General features: G+C 55.0%; 1 protein-coding gene across 23 annotated transcripts, besides 4 other annotated features; it reads left to right on the forward strand.

Annotated features, from left to right (window-relative positions):
• Nucleotides 261-310: an enhancer, noted in NCBI's record as "active region_10100". NCBI's record gives its function as "activates an Ori minimal core promoter by ATAC-STARR-seq in GM12878 lymphoblastoid cells {active_cell/tissue: GM12878}" and the evidence as "EXISTENCE:reporter gene assay evidence [ECO:0000049][PMID:35858748]".
• Nucleotides 300-20,503, forward strand: MAN2A2 (mannosidase alpha class 2A member 2). 23 transcript variants are annotated; one of them, XM_047432507.1, is made up of 26 exons: nt 300-444; nt 1,149-1,350; nt 1,444-1,652; nt 2,108-2,257; nt 3,169-3,426; nt 3,497-3,641; nt 3,763-3,934; nt 4,288-4,415; nt 4,658-4,831; nt 5,227-5,413; nt 7,245-7,422; nt 8,008-8,210; nt 8,419-8,601; nt 8,765-8,879; nt 9,089-9,156; nt 9,303-9,468; nt 9,961-10,197; nt 10,460-10,582; nt 10,795-10,909; nt 11,191-11,324; nt 11,532-11,673; nt 14,041-14,174; nt 14,504-14,578; nt 16,112-16,306; nt 16,563-16,673; nt 17,553-20,503. In XM_047432507.1, exons 4-26 carry the CDS (start codon nt 2,126-2,128, stop codon nt 17,703-17,705), a joined length of 3,528 nt encoding a protein of 1,175 aa, XP_047288463.1. In that variant the 5' UTR covers nt 300-444; nt 1,149-1,350; nt 1,444-1,652; nt 2,108-2,125; the 3' UTR covers nt 17,706-20,503. The 23 variants fall into 23 exon arrangements, 20 of the variants coding, with proteins under 20 accessions (XP_047288463.1, XP_047288464.1, XP_047288466.1 ...); XM_047432508.1 differs by lacking the exon at nt 14,504-14,578; XM_047432510.1 differs by lacking the exon at nt 14,504-14,578 and having other exon boundaries at nt 1,600-1,652.
• Nucleotides 481-750: a silencer, noted in NCBI's record as "silent region_6831". NCBI's record gives its function as "represses an Ori minimal core promoter by ATAC-STARR-seq in GM12878 lymphoblastoid cells {active_cell/tissue: GM12878}" and the evidence as "EXISTENCE:reporter gene assay evidence [ECO:0000049][PMID:35858748]".
• Nucleotides 771-1,200: a silencer, noted in NCBI's record as "silent region_6832". NCBI's record gives its function as "represses an Ori minimal core promoter by ATAC-STARR-seq in GM12878 lymphoblastoid cells {active_cell/tissue: GM12878}" and the evidence as "EXISTENCE:reporter gene assay evidence [ECO:0000049][PMID:35858748]".
• Nucleotides 2,151-2,210: an enhancer, noted in NCBI's record as "active region_10101". NCBI's record gives its function as "activates an Ori minimal core promoter by ATAC-STARR-seq in GM12878 lymphoblastoid cells {active_cell/tissue: GM12878}" and the evidence as "EXISTENCE:reporter gene assay evidence [ECO:0000049][PMID:35858748]".
• Nucleotides 20,504-21,126: the final 623 nt, after the last annotated feature.

The raw sequence follows: 21,126 nt of genomic DNA on the forward strand, positions 1-21,126 counted from the left end.
CCCCCAAAGGCCCATCTCCTAATACCATCATCACCTTGAGGGATTAGGATTTGAACATGAATTTGGGGGGTCACATTCAGATAATGTTATATATAACTTAAAAAGAACAAAAATGTGGAATTCATGGAGATGTTCATTGCAGTATGGATTACACTGAAAAACTGTAAACAACCTAGATGCCCAGTAAAAGGGAAACAGCCAAGAAAAGTCTGTGTCTTGTTCACTCGCTGGCAGGAAACATAGAGCAGGCACGGAAAGGAAAGGGACTCGAGGAATGCGCTGTACCGACAGGAGGCAGCACCCCTTTGCCCGAGGGGCGCAACGACAGAGACCTAAGGCTACCTGGGCCGGAGCCGGGTGAGGCCGCGGAGAACGCACCCCGCTACGCGTCTGCCGAGACGGAGGCGGGCGTTTCGACCACTGCCCGATCATGCGCTTACTCAAGTAGGATTCCGAAAAAATTCAGTCGCGCGTCCCTCCTGAGGTTCCGCAGCTGGCCAGGCCCGGCCCGGGCTGGTGCGGCTGCGCACTGCAGCCCAGCGGAGCGGGCCCGGGAGGAGCCGGGCGGGGACCGCGGCGGCCAGAGCTCCTGTCAGCTCCGCCGGGCACACGCAGGCCGGGGCGGGCGGCGCGGCTGTCCCCGCCCCGCACGCTGCTGGGCCCGGCAGCTTCAGAGGCTGGCGGACCCGCGCGGGGCCGGCGCAGCGGAGCGCGCCGGCGGCCCGGGGCCCAGCGGGAGCGCGGCAGCGGCGCGCGGAGCAGGGGGCTACGGGTGGGCGGGCGCCCGCCTTCGCCTGCGTCGCTGCCTGCACGCGGGCCGCCGTCCCCGGGCGTGTGAGAGCCGGCAGCTCGGCCGACTGGGCCCGGAGCGGCGCGGAGGCCGGGCGCTGACGGTAACGGGCCGGGTGCGCGCGCGGGAGGGCTCCGGCTGCCCCGACAGAGGCCGGGCTCGGGCGGCGGGAGTGCGAGCGCCACTGCGGCGTCAGAGGGGCCAGGAAGGGACAGGAGGCTGCCTGAGGCCCGTACCTGGCGCCTGTCTCTGCGGTCCCCGGGGCCGACGAAGTCGGAGCGGGTGGGGAGGGAGCCGGGCGGGCGGCCAGAGACCTGGCGGCAGGTGCCTGCCCTCTGTGATCCAACTCTCTCCCCAGCTCCACCCACATTGGCCTAGACCCAGTCTCTAAGGGCTGAAAATATTGCCCGGAAGCTCCCGAGCAGAATCAGATCGCGCTAAGTAGGGCACAACGCAGAGGCGACAAAGCTCCTCGGCCCCAGGGCCCGCGGAGCAGACTCCGGAGCGCGGTCCCGCCCACGCTCGGCTCCGCAGTTAGCGTCCTCCTTCCTCCTGAGCAGGCAAGCGGAGCCCGAGGGCGGTGGCGGCGGGGGGCACGGGTCCCCTGAAGTTGCCTCGCAGCTGAGCACTGGGCCCCGTCTCTCCCTTCCCAGGGGGCCTTCGGCGTCACTGCAGGCTTCCTAGGGGTCCCCTAAGTGCTCTGCAAACCGCGGCTGGAAGTTTCCCACTGCAGTGAACAGTAGAGAAACAGGGAGAACACACAGGGCTTGCTTTATGCTAGAAACACAAGCATCTTTCTTCTTTATTAGAAAGAAACTCATTCTGTGTTTCTGAGAAAGGATCGTGCCAGGCACTGTTTCTGGTGAGTGCCAGTTTGACCCGAAAGGGCACTGAGAAAGGCTTTCCTATCAGTCTCTTTGGGTTCTGGCTAAACTTTTAAATCAAACAAAATAGAGACTAGCTTATTCACCTGAAACTAGAAGCACATGGCCGAGGAGCCTGAACAGGCACCTCCTATCTAGGCAGGGAAGCTGTGTAATCAGGAGCTTGTGTGGTGCGCTCCAGTCGGAGCTGGGACTCTTATCCTGGGCCCGTTTTTCATAGCACCAGCCAAAGGAGAGCGTCCTCTCCACCCTAGCGGCAGAGCTGCTACCAGGACCAGGTGGGCCAGCCTCAGATGTGCTGCTTGTGCTACTTGGAGCCAGGCAAATGGGTGTTCCTTTGGAACAGCCCTCAGGAACTCACTGGGGTATTTGGTGGAAAGACTGCCACGGGCATTTTGCATGTTGGAGCTACAGATGGTGTCCTTCCTGCCAGGTGTGTGTGGAGGCCAGTATGAAGCTGAAAAAGCAGGTGACAGTGTGTGGGGCTGCCATCTTCTGTGTGGCAGTCTTCTCGCTCTACCTCATGCTGGACCGAGTGCAACACGATCCCACCCGACACCAGAATGGTGGGAACTTCCCCCGGGTGAGTCGTGCCTGGTTGCTAATTTCTTTGTATACAAGTCACCTGGGCTCAGGGTATGCACCTCCCACCCCGCCGCCTCCCCTCCCACCCCCCGCTGGAGGGTAATGTCAGTACAGGACAGGAGCCTTCCTTCCCAATAGTCAGGTTTTGTAGAAACCCTCAGCTAAAAACAGTGATGGCGAAAAGAAGGAAGGAAGAAAAAATGTCAATGGCAATGAGTATTGTCACTCTGTTCTCCTGAATTCTTTTCTTTCTTTTTTTTTTTTTTGAGACAGAGTCTCGCTCTGTCGCCCAGCCTTGAGTGCAGTGGCGCGATCTTGGCTCACTGCAACCTCCGCCTCCCAGGTTCAAGCAATTCTCCTGCCTCAGCCTCCCAAGTAGCTGGGACTACAGGAGCCTGCCACCATGCCCGACTAATTTTTGTATTTTTAGTAGAGACGAGACGAGGTATCGCCATGTTGGCCAGGCTGGTCTTGAACTCCTGACCTCAGGTGATCCACCCACCTTGGCCTCCCAAAGTGCTGGGATTACAGGTGTGGGCCACCGCGCCCAGCCCCTCCTGAATTCTTGGCAGACATTGCTAATTGATTGCAGCATTCTTTGCCATTAAGCCCCGCTGAAATCCTCAGCACAGGCAACACCGATTGTTGAGAATAGGTAGGTGAAAGGAAATCTTTGCCATCCCTGAGCTAGAGAGTGATGGTTCTCCCAACCCAAGTGGAGTGTAGTCCTCAGTGGTGATCTGCACAGCTCCCTTTATCTGAACGGTGTCATCTATCCCTCTAGGCTCATGGTCTGGCTTTGACTGATGAGGGAAGAATTGTACTCAGGCCTCAGCTGGTAGACCCCAAGCAGAGACCCTCCCTGTGGCATAAGGAGCTGTGTGTGATTGCTTTCTGGTTTTTTGGCAGAGCCAAATTTCTGTGCTGCAGAACCGCATTGAGCAGCTGGAGCAGCTTTTGGAGGAGAACCATGAGATTATCAGCCATATCAAGGACTCCGTGCTGGAGCTGACAGCCAACGCAGAGGGCCCGCCCGCCATGCTGCCCTACTACACGGTCAATGGCTCCTGGGTGGTGCCACCGGAGCCCCGGCCCAGCTTCTTCTCCATCTCCCCGCAGGACTGCCAGTTTGCTTTGGGGGGCCGGGGTCAGAAGCCAGAGCTGCAGGTAAGAGTCAGAGCTGGCAGGGACGTACAGTGGCCACGACTGGGGTACTGAGCTGCAGTTCACCTGGCAGATGCTCACTGTGTCGGAGGAGCTGCCGTTTGACAACGTGGATGGTGGTGTGTGGAGGCAAGGCTTCGACATCTCCTACGACCCGCACGACTGGGATGCTGAAGACCTGCAGGTGTTTGTGGTGCCCCACTCTCACAATGACCCAGGTGAGGGCCCTGCAGACTCCTGGGAGCTGGAGTGTGGAGTGGGATTTCTGATGGCCAATACAAGGGAGGGACGTCGAAGAAGATGGTGGCATCCTCAGGGGACCCTACATTGGCTCCCTAGGCTGGATCAAGACCTTTGACAAGTACTACACAGAGCAGACCCAACACATCCTCAATAGCATGGTGTCTAAGCTGCAGGAGGACCCCCGGCGGCGCTTCCTCTGGGCAGAGGTCTCCTTCTTCGCCAAGTGGTGGGACAACATCAATGTCCAAAAGAGAGCGGCAGTCCGAAGGCCAGTACCAGGCGGGGAGGCATGGGAGGGCATTGTCTGAGCCCCAGGCTGGGTGGACGGGTCTTACCTTAAGCTATGGGTGCCAAGGTGGCAGGGAGAGGCCCAGAGAGCTGTGGAAGAGATGAGTGATGGTGGAGGGAGGGAAGGCAAAAACAGATAGGTTCCGAGATAAGCGGGGCCAGGATAGCCTGGAGGTTGGCTGTAAGGAAAGGAGGGCAAGTGTGTGTTCTCTTGGTCCTGGGATTGGGAGAACTGGTCCAGTGAGGCCAGTGCACACAGGCCCTGACATTTGCTGGTTGGCAGGACTGGGCAGAGTGTCCTGCTCCGTCCTGAGTGTGAGTCCTTAACTATAGGCTGGTGGGAAACGGGCAGCTGGAGATTGCGACAGGAGGCTGGGTGATGCCAGATGAGGCCAATTCCCACTACTTTGCATTGATTGACCAGCTCATCGAAGGACACCAGTGGCTGGAGAGAAATCTTGGTAAGTCCAGGCCCAGGCATGGGGGTCTGCCCCCTGGGCTGTAAGGCACAGGCAGGGGCTGTAAGGCACAGGGATCGGCAGGGGGTGGTTCCTTTCTAGGCAGATCCCACCATGTGGGCCTGGTGTGATATCATCTCTCCACTCACTACCAGGACAAGAGCTGGGGTCCCAGCACCTGGAAGGCCGGGGGGCCAGCCCCTGAGGTGTGTTCAGGGCCTCTCTGGCTTCCATGCCCTGCCCAGGTGCAACCCCCCGCTCTGGCTGGGCAGTGGACCCCTTTGGATACAGCTCCACCATGCCTTACCTGCTGCGCCGTGCCAACCTCACCAGCATGCTGATTCAGAGAGTGCACTATGCCATCAAGAAGCACTTTGCTGCCACCCACAGCCTAGAGTTCATGTGGAGGCAGACATGGGGTAAGGCCGGGTAGGGTAGAGGGGGTTACTGCAGCATAGTCTTCACTGGGGAACAGCAGGGATATCAGAACTAAGACCCCCACTGTTCTTCAGAGCAGACCTGCAGGCACTGGTGTGGACTGCCAGAAATGGTCGCACCCTCTGGTTAGGGGAGGGCCATATTGACCTCTGGCCTCTACAGGGCCTGCTGTCCCAAGGGCTTCAGCGTGCCCTGTGTGCCCGTCCCCTGAGGGAGCCCCTCATGTCTTTCTCCCTGGCCTACACACTCTCTCCAGCCCTAGGTCCAGTTACAGCCTCGCGGTCTATCAGGGCTGCCTTTAGCCTGAACAGATCCTTGCCCCCCTGGCGTCCAGAGGCTGCCTGCTGGTGGTGACCACGTGGTGTGTCTCCTGCAGACTCGGACTCCAGCACAGACATCTTCTGTCACATGATGCCCTTCTACAGCTATGACGTCCCCCATACCTGTGGCCCAGATCCCAAGATCTGCTGCCAATTTGATTTCAAACGCCTGCCTGGTGGGCGCATCAACTGCCCTTGGAAGGTGCCACCCCGGGCCATCACAGAGGCCAACGTGGCAGAGAGGTATCTGCTTCCAGCCCTTTCACTTCACAGAGGAATCGGGAGGCCTGGCTCTGGTCTGGGCCGTGCCACGTGGAGGGTGGGCTCAGGTGGTGAGTTGAGGCTCCTAGCCTCTGCAGCAGCAGCTCCTTACTAAGTCTCCTGAAAAACTGGAATGGCTCTTGCAACCACCTTTCACAGAATGCTTTTAGGTTCTCACATGAGTACTTCTTGATGCCCTAACAAACTGCCAGGGCCAGCTGACAACTTAGAGGTGAAGGATTCCCAGGTTAGATGTATGTTACAAACTTCAGGCTCATGTGCCTTCACTTAGTGCCAGTGTTCTGACTTGGCTTTAAGTCAACCACGAGAATCCTGTTCAGATCCACATTCAGTCCCACGAGATAGCCTCCAGCCTCTGAGAAAACAGACCTGTCCCTTTTGAGAGAATTTAGGGACCCCTAAAGATAGCACTCTTGCTGAAATCAGGCCCCGGGGGAAAGTGTTAGGTAAGAGTTGATCCAAACAGCAATTTAGTCAGAACCTTAAGAATACGACAAGTTGGATTGGTTTTTATGTTGCAATGCTCTGATTTCTCCCTGATGTCCAAGAGTTGAAACGTGACCAAAAGGGAAATAAAGTGGTCTTTTGTTTCCAGAAGTCTAAATGGCGATTCCAGGCAAGAATCTAGGGCTATGAGGGCGTGACTTTTCTTAAAGCAGCAGTTGTGATCAGTGAGGCTGGCCTAGGTTTACAAGAACAGGCCCTGAAAGGTAACCATTTTCTCCTTTGAAAGGCTTACTAGACTGATAAGTTAGGGGAAAGTGGTATTTGAGGAATCCTCTCATGAGAACAGAGTAGAAAAGTACAAGCTGGGCCAGCGCCGCTAAGTAGATTAGTTGACTCTTTGGACTGTGATATTTATAACATGCCAATTAAAGTAGGAAAGGGCTTCTGCTGATGTGCCACAGGGCTGTTTTTCTACTGATTTTGCCAATAATTTGGATGAAAAGAAAAGAAATGTTTATATATAGTTCCCATTATGTACCAGGCACTATTCTAAGTGTTTAACAAATATTCATTCATTGATTTTATTTTATTTATTTAATTTAATTTTTTTTTTTTTTTGAGATGGAGTCTGTCACCCAGGCTGGAGTGCGGTGGTGCAATTTCGGCTCACCGCAACCTCCGCCTCCTGGGTTCAAGTGATTATCCTGCCTCAGCCTCCTGAGTAGCTGGGATTACAGATGTGCACCACCACACCCGGCTAATTTTTGTATTTTTAGTAGAGACAGGGTTTCACCATATTGGCCAGGCTGGTCTTGAATTCCTGACCTCAGGTGATCTGCCTGCCCCGGTCTCCCAAAGTGCTGGGATTACAGGTGTGAGCCACTGCGCTCGGCCCATTCAATCCATTTTAATTCTCATAACATTATATGGGTACCTACGGATGTTATCCTTATTTTGCTAGAAATGGAGGCTCAGAGAGGTTACTTGCCCACAGTCACTGAGCTAGTACTTGTGGAGCTGGTGTGATATGGCTCCGGGGTCCAGACCCTTCACTTTGGTGCTGCATCGCTAACTGGTGGGCAAAATGAGGCGGGAGTGTCAGAACCAGGATCCCAAAAGATCTCAACAGCCTAGCATAAAAAATAACATGTCAGCTGTCAGAACTGCCCAGAGAGCACCGGACTCCCCTGGGGCTGGGATTCATGTGCAGGAGGTGTCTGTTTGCGCTGAACCACTCCTTGGTGGATGGGATGTCTTCTAGGGGCTTGCTGGCGGGATGGCTGTGCGTGGTGCTCTTTTACTGATGAGACTTCGTGGTGGGCCCATGTTTTTTTTCCTGCCCCAGGGCAGCCCTGCTTCTGGACCAATACCGGAAGAAGTCCCAGCTGTTCCGAAGCAACGTCCTCCTGGTGCCTCTTGGAGATGACTTCCGATATGACAAGCCCCAGGAGTGGGATGCCCAGTTCTTCAACTACCAACGGCTCTTTGACTTCTTCAACAGCAGGCCTAACCTCCATGTGCAGGTGTGAGGGGCACTTGACTGGGGAGGGGCCTCACAGTGCTGCAGCCCATCCCTTCCCGTGAGACCGTGCCCTGGGTTCCCAACTCGGGCAGGGTGCCCCCCTTTTTTTTTTTTTTTTGAGATGGAGTCTCACTCTGTTGCCCAGGCTGGAGTTCAGTGGCGCGATCTTGGCTCACTGCCAGCTCCGCCTCCCGGGTTCACGCCAGTCTCCTGCCTCAGCTGCCCAAGTAGCTGGGACTACAGGTGCCTGCCATCACACCCAGCTAATTTTTTGTAGTTTTAGTAGAGATGGGGTTTCACTGTGTTAGCCAGGGTGGTCTCGATCTCCTGACTTCGTGATCCACTCGCCTCGGCCTCCCAAAGTGCTGGGATTACAGGCGTGAGCCACCGCGCCCAGCCGAAGGTGCCCCTTTTATGTCAGAATTAATTCCCAGGCTCCCCTACTTCTGTTAAGTCTAGAATGGCAGGATGTACAGTTCCTGCTTCTGAGGCCAGAGCCCCTGCCTCACCCCCAACTGCAGCACTGTGGCCACAATTTGCAGGAGGCTCTAGAACTGATGGGAGTGGGTTTTTGGGGTTCCCACAGGCCCAGTTTGGCACTCTTTCTGACTATTTTGATGCCCTGTACAAGAGGACAGGGGTGGAGCCAGGGGCCCGGCCTCCAGGGTTTCCTGTGCTGAGCGGGGATTTCTTCTCCTATGCGGACCGGGAGGATCATTACTGGACAGGCTATTACACTTCCCGGCCCTTCTACAAGAGCTTAGACCGAGTCCTGGAAGCCCACCTGCGGTGAGACCCTGTCCCCGCTTCCAGGCTGGAGGGGGAGAGTCAGCCTTTGGGGTTTAAGGAGGGGCTGGATTGGCTCAGAAGGGAATAGATAGGCCCAGAGGCCAGGGCAGGTAGAGGAGGGGTGGGAAGGAAGGAGGCTGCACTGGCAGAGTGTGGGTGGGCCCTGGCTAGTGGTGCAGGCTGGCAGCTAACTTCTCTCTCTGGGCAGGGGGGCAGAGGTTCTGTACAGCCTGGCTGCAGCTCACGCTCGCCGCTCTGGTCTGGCTGGCCGGTACCCACTGTCTGATTTCACCCTCCTGACGGAAGCTCGGCGCACATTGGGGCTCTTCCAGCATCACGATGCCATCACTGGCACGGCCAAGGAGGCTGTGGTGGTGGACTATGGGGTCAGGTGGGAGCCTTCTCTTTTCCCTTGTAAGCTCCCCTGCTCACTGTCCCAAAGAAAGGACATTGGGTGGTCAGGGGGTAGGCCGGCCTAGGGCTTGTCCTGCTGACAAGGCAGACAGCTTCCCTATGGTCATCTTCTCTCCTTCCCTCTCCTGCGCCACCCACAGGCTTCTGCGCTCCCTTGTCAACCTGAAGCAGGTCATCATTCATGCAGCCCACTATCTGGTGCTGGGGGACAAGGAGACCTACCACTTTGACCCTGAGGCGCCCTTCCTCCAAGTGGTGAGCCCCTCCTGGGTCTGCATGGGGACCCTCTGGTGTGTGCAGGTCCCATCCCAAGAGCTGCTGGATGGGGGTGCCGCTTCTCTTTTTCCTTCCCCATCCGGATGAGTTCTGTGCCCAGTGCAGCCGCTGGTCCACACCTGGGACAGGTGGGGTGGGAGGAGGCTGAGCCCATGATGGTTCTTCCCTTCCGGCTCACTGAATTCCAGGATGACACTCGCTTAAGTCACGACGCCCTCCCAGAGCGCACGGTGATCCAGCTGGATTCCTCGCCCAGGTAACCTGGACTACGCCATGTGCAGAGAGGCAGAGCCATTCCCTGGCTCTCAGGCCCCTCTGCCCCAGCATGTGCTGAACCAGTGCAGGGCGCTTGCCCTGGTCGGAAGCAGCAGCCTCCTGGGTCAGCCCACCTTCTACGCACAGGTTTGTGGTCCTATTCAACCCACTGGAACAGGAGCGATTCAGCATGGTGTCCCTGCTGGTCAACTCTCCCCGCGTGCGTGTCCTTTCGGAGGAGGGTCAGCCCCTGGCCGTGCAGATCAGCGCACACTGGAGCTCTGCCACCGAGGCGGTCCCTGACGTCTACCAGGTGAGGTGTGGGCTTGTCAGGTGGGCCTGGCCCTCTGCCCGTCGTGGGCCCCTCCCCGCCCGGCGACGCCAGCCTCCCACCCTCCTGCTTGTGGCCCTGCTACTCTCCAGGCTGAGGACAAGTGTCCTGGGGAGGGGGTTGTCCAGAAGACAGGCACTCTTGGGATTTGAGCGTGTCCTTGAAAAGAAGGGGAAGGTTGGTATGGTAATAGTAATGGTAAAAATAGCAGTTATAATGCCCCATCATTCAGTCATTCAATGTTTATCGAAAGCTTAATGTGTTGTTACCGCTTCATACTTTTTCAAATATCACTTGAGAATCATAAAGTCTGATGAGGAAGAAAGGGCAAATCAGATCACCTCCACTTTGGAGGAGGGGCAGAGGCCCAGCGGGTGCAGGGGCTTGCTCAAGCCCTCTGTTAGTAAGCGGATGCCTCAGCACCCCTGTGGCGAAAGCCGTGCCCCCACTTCCTCACCCCTCCTGTGCCCACAGGTGTCTGTGCCTGTCCGCCTGCCAGCCCTGGGCCTGGGCGTGCTGCAGCTACAGCTGGGCCTGGATGGGCACCGCACGCTGCCCTCCTCTGTGCGCATCTACCTGCACGGCCGGCAGCTGTCCGTCAGCAGGCACGAAGCGTTTCCTCTCCGTGTCATTGACTCTGGCACCAGCGACTTCGCCCTCAGCAACCGCTACATGCAGGTCTGGTTCTCAGGCCTTACTGGGCTCCTCAAGGTAAAAGGCCAGGGTGGTGGGGAAGGGCCAGGGGCCAGAGTAGGGCGTGTGTGGTGGTGGCACTGTGCAGAGCGGCCTCCCGGCCCTGTGAGCATTCTGCCACCTGACCCACAGTGGACCGGGGCCTGGGCCATCTCAGCTCCAGCCTGACAGCATGGGGAAGCAGGGCACGGCTCCTTGGGGAAGCTATTCCGTGTCCTCCCAGGAGGCAGGCCTGACATGCTGGTGTGGGGCCAGGGGTCAGGGCTGTGTTTTTTGGCAGAGCATCCGAAGGGTGGATGAGGAGCACGAGCAGCAGGTGGACATGCAGGTCCTTGTCTATGGCACCCGTACGTCCAAAGACAAGAGTGGAGCCTACCTCTTCCTGCCCGATGGCGAGGCCAAGGTATCCTAAAGATGCCTTGAACAACCTGGCAGGGAGGGCAGGAGGGGGCACAGGCCTTCCCACAGGTTTATTGCTGCCTGCCAGGGGCCTTGTCTTTCCTGTTCAGCCCAGGGGTGTCTGGGAATAGGTGCTCTCTTGCCCAGCCCTGGGCTGGCACCTTCCTGCTTTGCCCTCTGTGCTGTAGTTTCAACAGCAATCTGCTCTTTCTCTAGCCCTACGTCCCCAAGGAGCCCCCCGTGCTGCGTGTCACTGAAGGCCCTTTCTTCTCAGAGGTGGTTGCGTACTATGAGCACATTCACCAGGCGGTCCGGCTTTACAATCTGCCAGGTGAGCCCTGCATATGAGGAAGGGTCTGGAAGGAGGTGTGGGCTCCACAACTGTGGCGTATTCTTCCTTCTGCTGCTTCTCTGTTCATACCTCTGTTCCGTATCATTTGAGACAGGGATGCTCCATTCTCTTGGAGAAAAAGTCATCCAGAAATGCCCTGGGGATTTCTTGGGAGGTTGGACAGAGCCTCTCCCCAGCTCGGCTCTGATCCCCCAGCCCAGCCTCTTAGCTGTGCTTCAGCCTCACACCTGTCCATGCCCCCACTTTGTTCCTGTACCCAGGGGTGGAGGGGCTGTCTCTGGACATATCATCCCTGGTGGACATCCGGGACTACGTCAACAAGGAGCTGGCCCTGCACATCCATACAGACATCGACAGCCAGGGTATCTTCTTCACAGACCTCAATGGCTTTCAGGTGACTCCTGGGCCTGGGTCTCGGAGACCCCACAGAGTAGAACTTGGACTCTGCTTTTGCCCCTGTCACAGGCCCTGGGGGATGATCTGCCCTGATGGAGAAAGATGAATGAGAGGCGAAGAGTTATCGGGGACTCCTTCAGTCTGGGGACCGCTTGGGCCCACATGGTGCCCGGGTGCCCTTGATCTGCTGGCCTTGCCCCCACAGGTGCAGCCCCGACGGTATCTGAAGAAGCTCCCCCTCCAGGCCAACTTCTACCCCATGCCAGTCATGGCCTATATCCAGGACGCACAGAAGCGCCTCACGCTGCACACTGCCCAGGCCCTGGGTGTCTCTAGCCTCAAAGATGGTGAGTAGGGCCCAGGAGTTCTGCAGAGGGTATCAGACAAAAAGAAGCCCGTCCCCACCCTCAAGGGCTCCCCGCTCTGTTGGCCTCCCTTGCCTCTTTCTGGACTGCATCACCTCCATGCTTGGAGAGGGGGCAAGCCATTCAGAGCTCTTGGCACAGGAGGCAGGCATCTGCTGTCCCCATCCCCTGGTGGAGGCAGCAGTGTAGGCAACTGGGTGGAGTGTCCTACTGGATGCCCTGAAGAACCGTCAGGGTTACAACTCTTGGGGCCAAAGAAAGGAAAAAAAATGTCAAAAAGCAAAGCTAGGCACAGTGGTTCACTCCTGTAATCCCAGCACTGTTGGGAGGCCAAGGCAGAAGGCCAGGAGTTTGAGACCAGCCTGGGCAACAAAGCGAGACCCAGGCTCTACAAAAAGATTTAAAAATTAGCTGGATTTGGTGGCACGTGCCTATAGTCCCAGCTACTCAGGAGACTGAGATGGGAGGATTGCTTGAGCCCAGGAGCTGGAGGCTGCAGTAAGCCAAGACTGTGCCACTGCACTACAGCCTGGTGACAGAGCAAGACCCAGTCTGAAAAAAAAGGCAAGAAGCATCAGGGTATTGAACAGTGGTTCTCAGCTGAGGTGTGCAACCCTCTTCTGGGCGGGGCTGAGAGTAGGGACAGCTTGTAAAGTGCACTCAGTGTTATGAAATATTAAGGAAATGAGAAAATTACATACTGTTTTCCTTCCAGTGATCATTAAAAGACAGACTGACGTTCTTTTTTTTTGTTTTTTTGTTTTGAGACGGAGTTTCACTCTTTCGCCCAGGCTGGAGTGCAGTGGTGCAATCTCCGCTCACTGCAACCTCCGCCTTCCGATTTGAAGCGATTCTCTTGCTTCAGCCTCCTGAGTAGCTGGGATTACAGGCGCCCGCCACCATGCGCAGCTAGTTTTTCTATTTTTAGTAGAGATGGGGTTTCACCATGTTGGCCAGGCTGGTCTGGAACTCCTGACCTTGTGATCTGCCTGCCTCGGTCTCCCAAAGTGCTGGGATTATAGGTGTGAGCCAACACGCCCGGCCAAGACTGACGTTCTTAAGAATCAAGACGGGCATGGGGAGCACTGGCCTGGAGTCAGACCCGGGTAGCTGGTCACGCTGGCAGCTCTGTGTGGCCCCCATATCCTCAGGGCAAAACGAACAGTTTGCACTTGGTGGCATCTGAGGCCCTTGAGATCTGTCTCTGGGAAGAGCCCTTGTGAAGGGCTGAGCCGAGAGCACCCAGTCAAGGCTAGGCGTGGCCCAATGGCTGGCAAGTTCGGGGGCCTGACTCCCTGCTGGGAGGAGTGTGCCTTTCTCTGCCAGGAGCAGCCCCTGGTCCATCTGTGTCATGACTCCTAACTGCAGCCCAATATCCCTCACTGGATCTTCTCCTCTCCCCCTCTGGGATATGGTATTTGAAAAAATGACTGTCTTCTATACAAGGGATCCGTTTTAGGGTTTTCAGACATCTTTCTGTGGTTGTTCTGGGTTAAAAGACTGAGCAACTACACAAGTCAGTAAGGACTGGAGAGGTGAAAGGGAGAATAAGGCCATCTGTCCCGGTGGAATGTAGGGGCAGCTGGTGTGGTTTCCCTCGAGATCTTGTACAAGAACAGCTGCACCCACCTCCAACACCTGCACACACTGGGGCCTCTGTCCCCAACACATCAGCCATGCACCGAGCCCCTGCTCCAAGCATACTCTAGAAAACAGAGCAAAGGTGGTCACTTGCCATATCTTTTTTCCAGGGCAACCCAGATGACACTTAATATGAGCCTCTGCCTGACTTGCCATCTGGCTGTCCTTTCCAGAGCCCTACTTTTAACACACAGACAGTCAGAGCTTGAGTCTGACCTGCTGGGGCTGTCTGGCTGTCCAGTGTAGAACAAGGGCAGGAGAGCCTGTGTTTTAGTCACAACCTGCCCAACCTGAGCAAACCTGCCCCAGATTACGGAGGTGTGCAGCAACACTACCGATGGCTGTTGATCTAAGTTTTTCATTTCTGGTTTATTTTGTTGTATGTAACCCGTCCTGATTCGGTTTCCTGCCTGGGCCCCTAGGCCCGTTCCCTACTCCTGAGTCCCAGAGCGTGGGGGGTAAACTGCCAGGGCCAGCCTTCCCCTTTCTGGACCTCATGCTTCCTCATCTGCAAAATAACGGCCCAGGACGAGCCCCTCATCAGGTTCCCTCCCAGCCGTGGGAACCCGTGACCTCTCCTGAGTGACTCAGCTTCTGTCTCTCGAGCTGCGCTTTTCCGTCAGGGCCTGTGGCTTGGGATTCTCCTTTGAAAGGTCAGTGCCTGCTTGGGGGTGGGGGCGGGCCAGCACTCACTGTTTGCTTCCCCAGGCCAGCTGGAGGTGATCTTGGACCGGCGGCTGATGCAGGATGACAACCGGGGCCTAGGCCAAGGGCTCAAGGACAACAAGAGAACCTGCAACCGTTTCCGCCTCCTGCTAGAGCGGCGAACCGTGGGCAGTGAGGTAACATCTGGGGCTGACGCCCAGGGAGCCAGGTCTGGCTAGTCCCTGGGGGTGGCCGGGGGGTCCAGCCTAGGGCTCGAGGAGCGTAGTTGGAGGTGGGCAAGAGAGAGAGAGTAGGGCTGAATTCCTGGGGTGGGGGGAGGCAGTCTGGCGTTTTGTGTCCCATCTCACGCAGCCTGGCACCTTCCTCTCCCAGCAGCGCTCTGTCACCTGTGCCCCTCATGTTCGTCTCCCACTTTCCTCTGTGCTGCCCTCCTCTGCCCTGTCCCAGCATTCTCTAAGCCTGTGCTCCAACCCCGCTCATCTCATGGCTTTCTTTGCCCCACCAGCCTGACTTTTTCTCCAAACTGGCAGCCATGTTTAGGGGCTTGATCTTTCACAGCAGCAGGAGCGGTAACCGAGAGGTAAGGGTCGGCTCTGGGAGCGGGGAACTAGTACGAGCAAGGTGTAGCTGCGCCAGAGCCCAGGTGACAGAGCCCGCCACTCAGTCACTCGTGCATCAGATAGATATTGAGCACCTGCTTTACTGTGAGGACCCAGAGGGACATAAGTGCAGACAGTGCTGACTCTCCCAGGAGTTTACTCGTGAGTAGGGGTGGCAGAGAAGCCATGTGTGTAAAAATGCAAGGTAGAAAGGGCTTTGTCTCACTGATCCTGAGGAGCAAGGTAATAATGTGGGCTAAGGAGATCGAGGTCAAGGAGGTGTCACCCAGGTGTGGCTTTGATGAATGGGGTGTGATTTGAAGATATGAACCAGGGCACAGGATAGGAGGCAGGAAAGACAACAGGCTGGGGAATAGCAGTGAGTTCCTTAGTTATGCTGGAGCTATGCTATCCAGTACGGTGGCCAGTAGCCCTATATGGCTATTTAAATTACAACTAAATCAAGTAAAAAATTTGCTTTCTTATTCCTACTGACCACACTTCAAGTACTCAAGTGGCTAAGTGGCTGCCGTATTAGACCATGTGGTGTCGGATATTTCCATCCTTGCAGAATGCCCTCTTGGCTGGTGCTGGGCTAGAGTGCTAGGGGGAGATCAGGGCAGACGGCAGAGCACCTTGAGTGCCTGCTAAGGGATCTGGACTTTATCCTGGCTAGGAAAGGTCCAGGCTAAGGAAAGAGCTGAGCAAGGAGGGACACCGTCAGAACTCTGGTCTCAGCATGTCACGCTGACAGTACGGAGCAGGTTGGATCTGTGGGAAGGGAGACTGGAGGAGGGTGACAGCGGGAGGCTGTTCAGGCAGGACATGCTGGCTGCTTGAACTAGGCCAGAGGCTGGAGAAGTTGCCGGTGGCTATGAGGACACTGCCCAGGTGCGACGGAAGAGGGTTTAGCATTACCTGGGAATGCAGAGGGAAGTGAGAGATGCTGGGCGCTTGGAAGAAGGGGGATGCCAGGGACAGAAGTCCAGAATATTCAGCCCAGGCCTGTGAGTCTGACGTCCAGGTGAGCTGCTAAGGAGTAGCCCTGCTGGCAGAGCCCCGGCCGCGCTGGGCCTGAGAGCCAGGCTGGCACTGTGGATGTGGCATCGCTCGTGAAGCCGCAGATTACCCAGAGCACTCTGGATTGGAGGTCCGTGCTCCATGGTGAGGCCTGCGTCTGCCTGGCTGCCATCCTCCCTGCACTGTGGATCCATGTGTGAGGGGAGACATGGCTGATGGGAGTGGGTTGCTCATGATAGTGTTATGTGAGCAAGGAACTAAAAAGTAGAGAAGAAACAGCTTAGTGAAGTAGCCCTCTGCGTTAGGGGAGACGGCAAATGTCCACACTTGAAGGGTTAGCGGAACCTCGCCTGGAGCCAGGCGTGCCCTTGAGTCCAGGCACACCAGGAAAGGTCTTTCCAAAACAACTGACCTGGGTGTGCTTTTATCCTGCCTCGTCCTCTCCCCTCAGCCTGGCTTTGGTCCCTCACCAATATCTCGGGTCAATTTTGCAGGTCCAAGATAGCCACTCTACCAGCTACCCATCCCTCCTCAGCCACCTGACCTCCATGTACCTGAACGCCCCGGCGCTCGCTCTGCCTGTAGCCAGGATGCAGCTCCCAGGCCCTGGTCTGCGCTCATTTCATCCTCTGGCTTCCTCACTGCCCTGTGACTTCCACCTGCTCAACCTACGTACGCTCCAGGCTGAGGTGAGTGTCCCTCAGCGTGACATGCTGAGAGCAGAGTTCTGATGGTGTCCCTCCCTGCTCAGCTCCTTCCTTAGCCTCCAGGATGAGGTCCAGACCCCTTAGCAGGTATTCGGCTCCAAACCTCCAGGACCAGGTTTTGGCCTTTCCTTACCCACACGCCTCCCTGTGCCAGCACTGCCTCTGGGCAGAGGCGCTGCTGCATCTCCGATCTCTGAAAGCCCTGCGCCCACTTCCCTGGGCACTGTCTGTCATCCAGGAGGACACCCTACCCTCGGCGGAGACCGCACTCATCTTACACCGCAAGGGTTTTGACTGCGGCCTGGAGGCCAAGAACTTGGGCTTCAACTGCACCACAAGCCAAGGCAAGGTGAGTAGGGTGGGGAAACAGAGCACCTAGGAATGGCAGGCATGAGCTTGGTAAGACTGGGCTGAGATTCGGTGACAGGCTGGGAGAAGAAAGTGTCACTCCAGGGCTTTCTGGAGAGAAGGGGGGAAGCTGTAGACATGTTTTCAGAGCTCCGGAGGCCTGGCAGGGGGAGTTCCAGACAAGGTAGATCGCTTGAGAACTTTTGTTCCCTGAGCAGGGACCTCTATCAAGCAAAGTGGAAAACACCAGAAATAGAAAACCAGAACCCATCCTGTTGTTACTTTGTAAGCTCATATCAGCCGGCACTGATAAATGTCCCCGGGTGCCAGGTCCTCTGCTGGGCTCCAGTGTTTCAGAAGTGAACCAAGACATGGTCACTGTTTTCACAGAGCTCACAGCTCAGTGGAACGGTTCTTACCCAGAGATCTGTAGGCAGGCTTTAGGGTTGAGCAAATCTCAGCAAGCCCGTGAGACTGGATGCACACTCATGTGTAAGAAGGCATGGTGTTGCTGAGAGGGGCCAGCCGGAACTGGAGTGCAGTGGCGTGATCGCAGCTCACTGCAACCCCCGCCTCCTGGTTCAAGTGATCCTCCTGCCTCAGCCTCCCGAGTAGCTGGGATTACAGGCGCCTGCCCCCACGCCCAGCTAATTTTTATATTGTTAGTAGAGACGGGGTTTCGCCATGTTGGCCAGGCTGGTCTCGAACTCCTGACCTCAGGTGATCCACCCGCCTTGGCCTCCCAAAGTGCTGGGATTACAGGTGTGAGCCACTGCCCCTGGCTGAGATTCTTAAAGAGGTACCAAATTGTAGATGAACAGCCACATTCTTTAGTGTCTCGGCACCTAGCACAACCCTGCCCCTTCTCTGCTCTCCACAGGTAGCCCTGGGCAGCCTTTTCCATGGCCTGGATGTGGTATTCCTTCAGCCAACCTCCTTGACGTTACTGTACCCTCTGGCCTCCCCGTCCAACAGCACTGACGTCTATTTGGAGCCCATGGAGATTGCTACCTTTCGCCTCCGCTTGGGTTAGGGCTTCTTGTGGCCTGAAGAGAAAGTTCATTCACAGAGACTGCCTCTTAACATGAAGATCATTGGACAAGCCACACGGGTATCCCATCCCGATCTGCCTCCCAGAACTGTGACACACTGGGCTCTGCCCTCATTTTCTGTTTATTGCTGCTGCTGTGTTTTCGGCGCAACCCACAAACCCAGTGATGGGTAAATAGGGCAGACGCCAGTGAGATCAGGGAGAGAAGGCCCTTGGTCAGAGTGGGCAGTGCCAGGCTCTGCTTTGGGTTGTGAGTGGACACCCAACTGGGCACAGGCTCAGGCACCCATCCTTTTTCCAAACAGGGATATAGAAGTGGTGGAAGCAGACAGAAGAGGTAAGGGAGGCTAAGTGGGTAACAGCCCAGCATCAGGGTCACTGTGGCAACAGCAGGCTCTAGGGGAATCCTGTGGTTATGTAGAGACTCCATGTCCTGGTGTGATGAGCAGGATCAGAGTGACTCTGGGAGGACAGGGGTGGGGACCCAGAGTTAGCAGTGGGGATGGAGCAGTAGAAGGAATCACTGTTTCTCCTAGGAGTCTGAAGGCCTCGCTGCTTTCTGTGATGGCTTTGCAGTAAGTGCCGCCTGGCCTGCATGCATTGGCTAACAGGCTGCAGAATGGCAGGAAGGACTCGCTAGAGATTGTCATGGCCAGAGATCATAGGTCACTTCAGGTAGCAAGACCCCTGGCAAACTGGGCACTTGGCCTATGTACTGATTTGTGGGATGGTGGCAGGGGTGTGGGGTCCTTCACCCTGCCTGAATTCTCTTTGGCTTCTGTGCTCTGTATGCTGCTGTCCCCAAGGGCTCTTTCTTATTATGGCAGGGAGTGGGGATTGGTCCTACTTTCTTTCTCTGGAAAGGAAAGCCTCCAAGACTCCATGTGCTTGGGCAGCTTGAGAAGGCGTTCAGCACCACGCCTAGCAGGCAGACCTTGAAGCCTCACCTTTAGTCTATCTGCAGAGGTATTCAGTTCCTGGCACAGGGGACTAGGGGCATGTAGAGTATATGAGGAGGCAGTATGGCTGTGCAGGAGCCTTCATTTCAGCTTCAATTAATAGGGAAGAATTTATGATAGCTCTATAGATGCTGAAAAGGTATTTCGTAAGATTTAAAATCCATCCCTTATTAAAACTCTTAGTAAATTAAGTCTGGAAAGAAACACCCTAATCTAGATAAAGGTCTGTTTCAGAAACCAACAGTGATGGCATTCTAAAGAGTCAGACGCCACAGGCATTCCCATTAAAGTCAGAAACTAGCCAAGGGCAAGCTATTATTCAGCAGTGTCCCGGCACTACTAACCCCTGCAACAAGCCAGATGAGGAACATAAGGAAGAATTATAATTGTCATTATTTGTAGACAATAAAACTGCCTACCTGTAAAACCTAAGAATCAACTGAAGACCTGTTAAGAGTATTCTGTAAGTCAACCCAATGATACACATCATGTTCCTGTCCACATACTGGTTTTCCCCAAATCAGCTGATAAATTCAGTGTAATTCCAATGAGATTGAAACTTTGGAATTGACAGTTCTAAAGTGCATTTGGGAGAGTGAATGTGTGAGAACACTAAGACCACTCTGAACGATGATAATGAGTTGGGGGGTGGACTGCTCGGGGGTGATCCTGCCAGATTCCCAGAGGATTCTCACGCCACCATTACCTCACTCAGTGTGACCTGGAGGGGGTCAGACAGACGGGAGAGTCCAGAAACAGACCCAGGGCTACAGGAATTTAGTATATGGTAAGAGGGATGTTTTAAGTGGGGAAAAAGGTGGATTATTTAATAAACAGCACTTTTAGACAACTAGCTATCAAAGCTAGATCTCAGCTGGGTGCGATGGCTCACGCCTGTAATCCCGGCACTTTGGGAGGCCAAGGTGGGTGGATCACTTGAGGTCAGGAGTTCGAGACCAGCCTGGCCAAGATGGCGAAACCCTGTGTCTACTAAAAATACAAAAACTAGCCAGGAATGGTGGCGCGCGCCTGTAATCCCAGTTACTTAGGAGGCTGAGGCAGGAGAATCACATCAACCTGGGAGGCGGAGGTTGCAGTGAGCTTAGATCATGCCACCATGCCACTGCACTCCAGCCTGGGTGACACAGCCAAAAAAAAAACCACTAAGTTAGATCTCTACCTCACAGTGTCCATACAAATTAGTTCCAGAGGGAAGATATACCACAAAATTACTCAAAAATTTTTATACCTCTGGTGTGGGACGGTCTTTTCTAAACTTTAACATGAGACTTAAAAGATATAATAAGGGAAAAGATAAGCAGATTTCGCAACCAAAAAATATCGAAAGTCTCTGTGTGATGGAAAACATCAAGGTTAAAACACAAATGACAGATATGGAAGAAAATATTTGCAGCACATAAAAAAATCAACGAGTACAATTACTTTAGGAGAAAAGCTTGCTTCAGGGTCCTTAGAGAAAGTCACTGGGGCCTGCCAAGCTGCCACCTAAAGACAAGAGTGAGAGGGCTGAGTTCTTCCAGGTCATCAGAGTTGTTGCTGCCCGTATTAGGCCACACAGTGGAACCCCATTTATATCATAGCAGAAGAAATAGGATTATCAATGTGAACTGCTTAGCATGGTGCCTGGTATATACGAGAGCTCCACAAATGTGAGCTATAATCCTACTAGTAAAGGATGCTAAGCAGTTCCACTGTGGCAGGTGTCATTTGCTAGTAGAATTTGTAATCAAACAATAGGAGGGGAATCTGTGAACGCCTAGAAAATGAGCAGAATAAAGGATATTATCTTTGGAAGTCTTAGATGTGCAATGAAATTATTTGTCTGACAGAAACGAATGCTGAATTCTATTTACTTAAGCCTTTAAAATGACTTAAGGCAGTCCGGGCACGGTGGCTCATGACTGTAATCCCAGCACCTTGGGAGGCCAAGGTGGGTGGACCACCTGAGCTCAGGAGTTGGAGACCAGCCTGGACAACATGGCGAAACCCCATCTCTACCAAAAAAATACAAAAATGAGCCGGGCGTGGTGGTGTGTGCCTGTAATCCCAGCTACTCGGTAGGCTGAGGCAGGAGAATCACTTGAACCTAGGAGGCAGAGGTTGCTGTGAGCCAAGATTGCGCCATTGTACTCCAGCCTGGGTGACAGAGCGAGACTCTGTCTCAAAAACAAAAAAACAAAAAAAAAAAACATAAAATGACTTAAGGCAGCATGGCTCAAGGTGTGATTCAGAATCACCAGAACTGCCATTGAAAGTACAGGTTTCTGTTCTGACTAGGGCTTCTTCAGCCTGGAGGCTGCAGTGCAGATGCGTAGGGCAGAGCCACAGCTGCCCTGAGACTGCTGTGTCATAGGAGATAGGAGCAAGAAACAAAAGCTGACTTCAGTGCACAGGGGGATAAAGGCAGATTCCTGGGTACAACC

This window comes from Homo sapiens, chromosome 15 (assembly GCF_000001405.40).
Source record: "Homo sapiens chromosome 15, GRCh38.p14 Primary Assembly".
Classification (NCBI taxonomy): domain Eukaryota; kingdom Metazoa; phylum Chordata; class Mammalia; order Primates; family Hominidae; genus Homo; species Homo sapiens.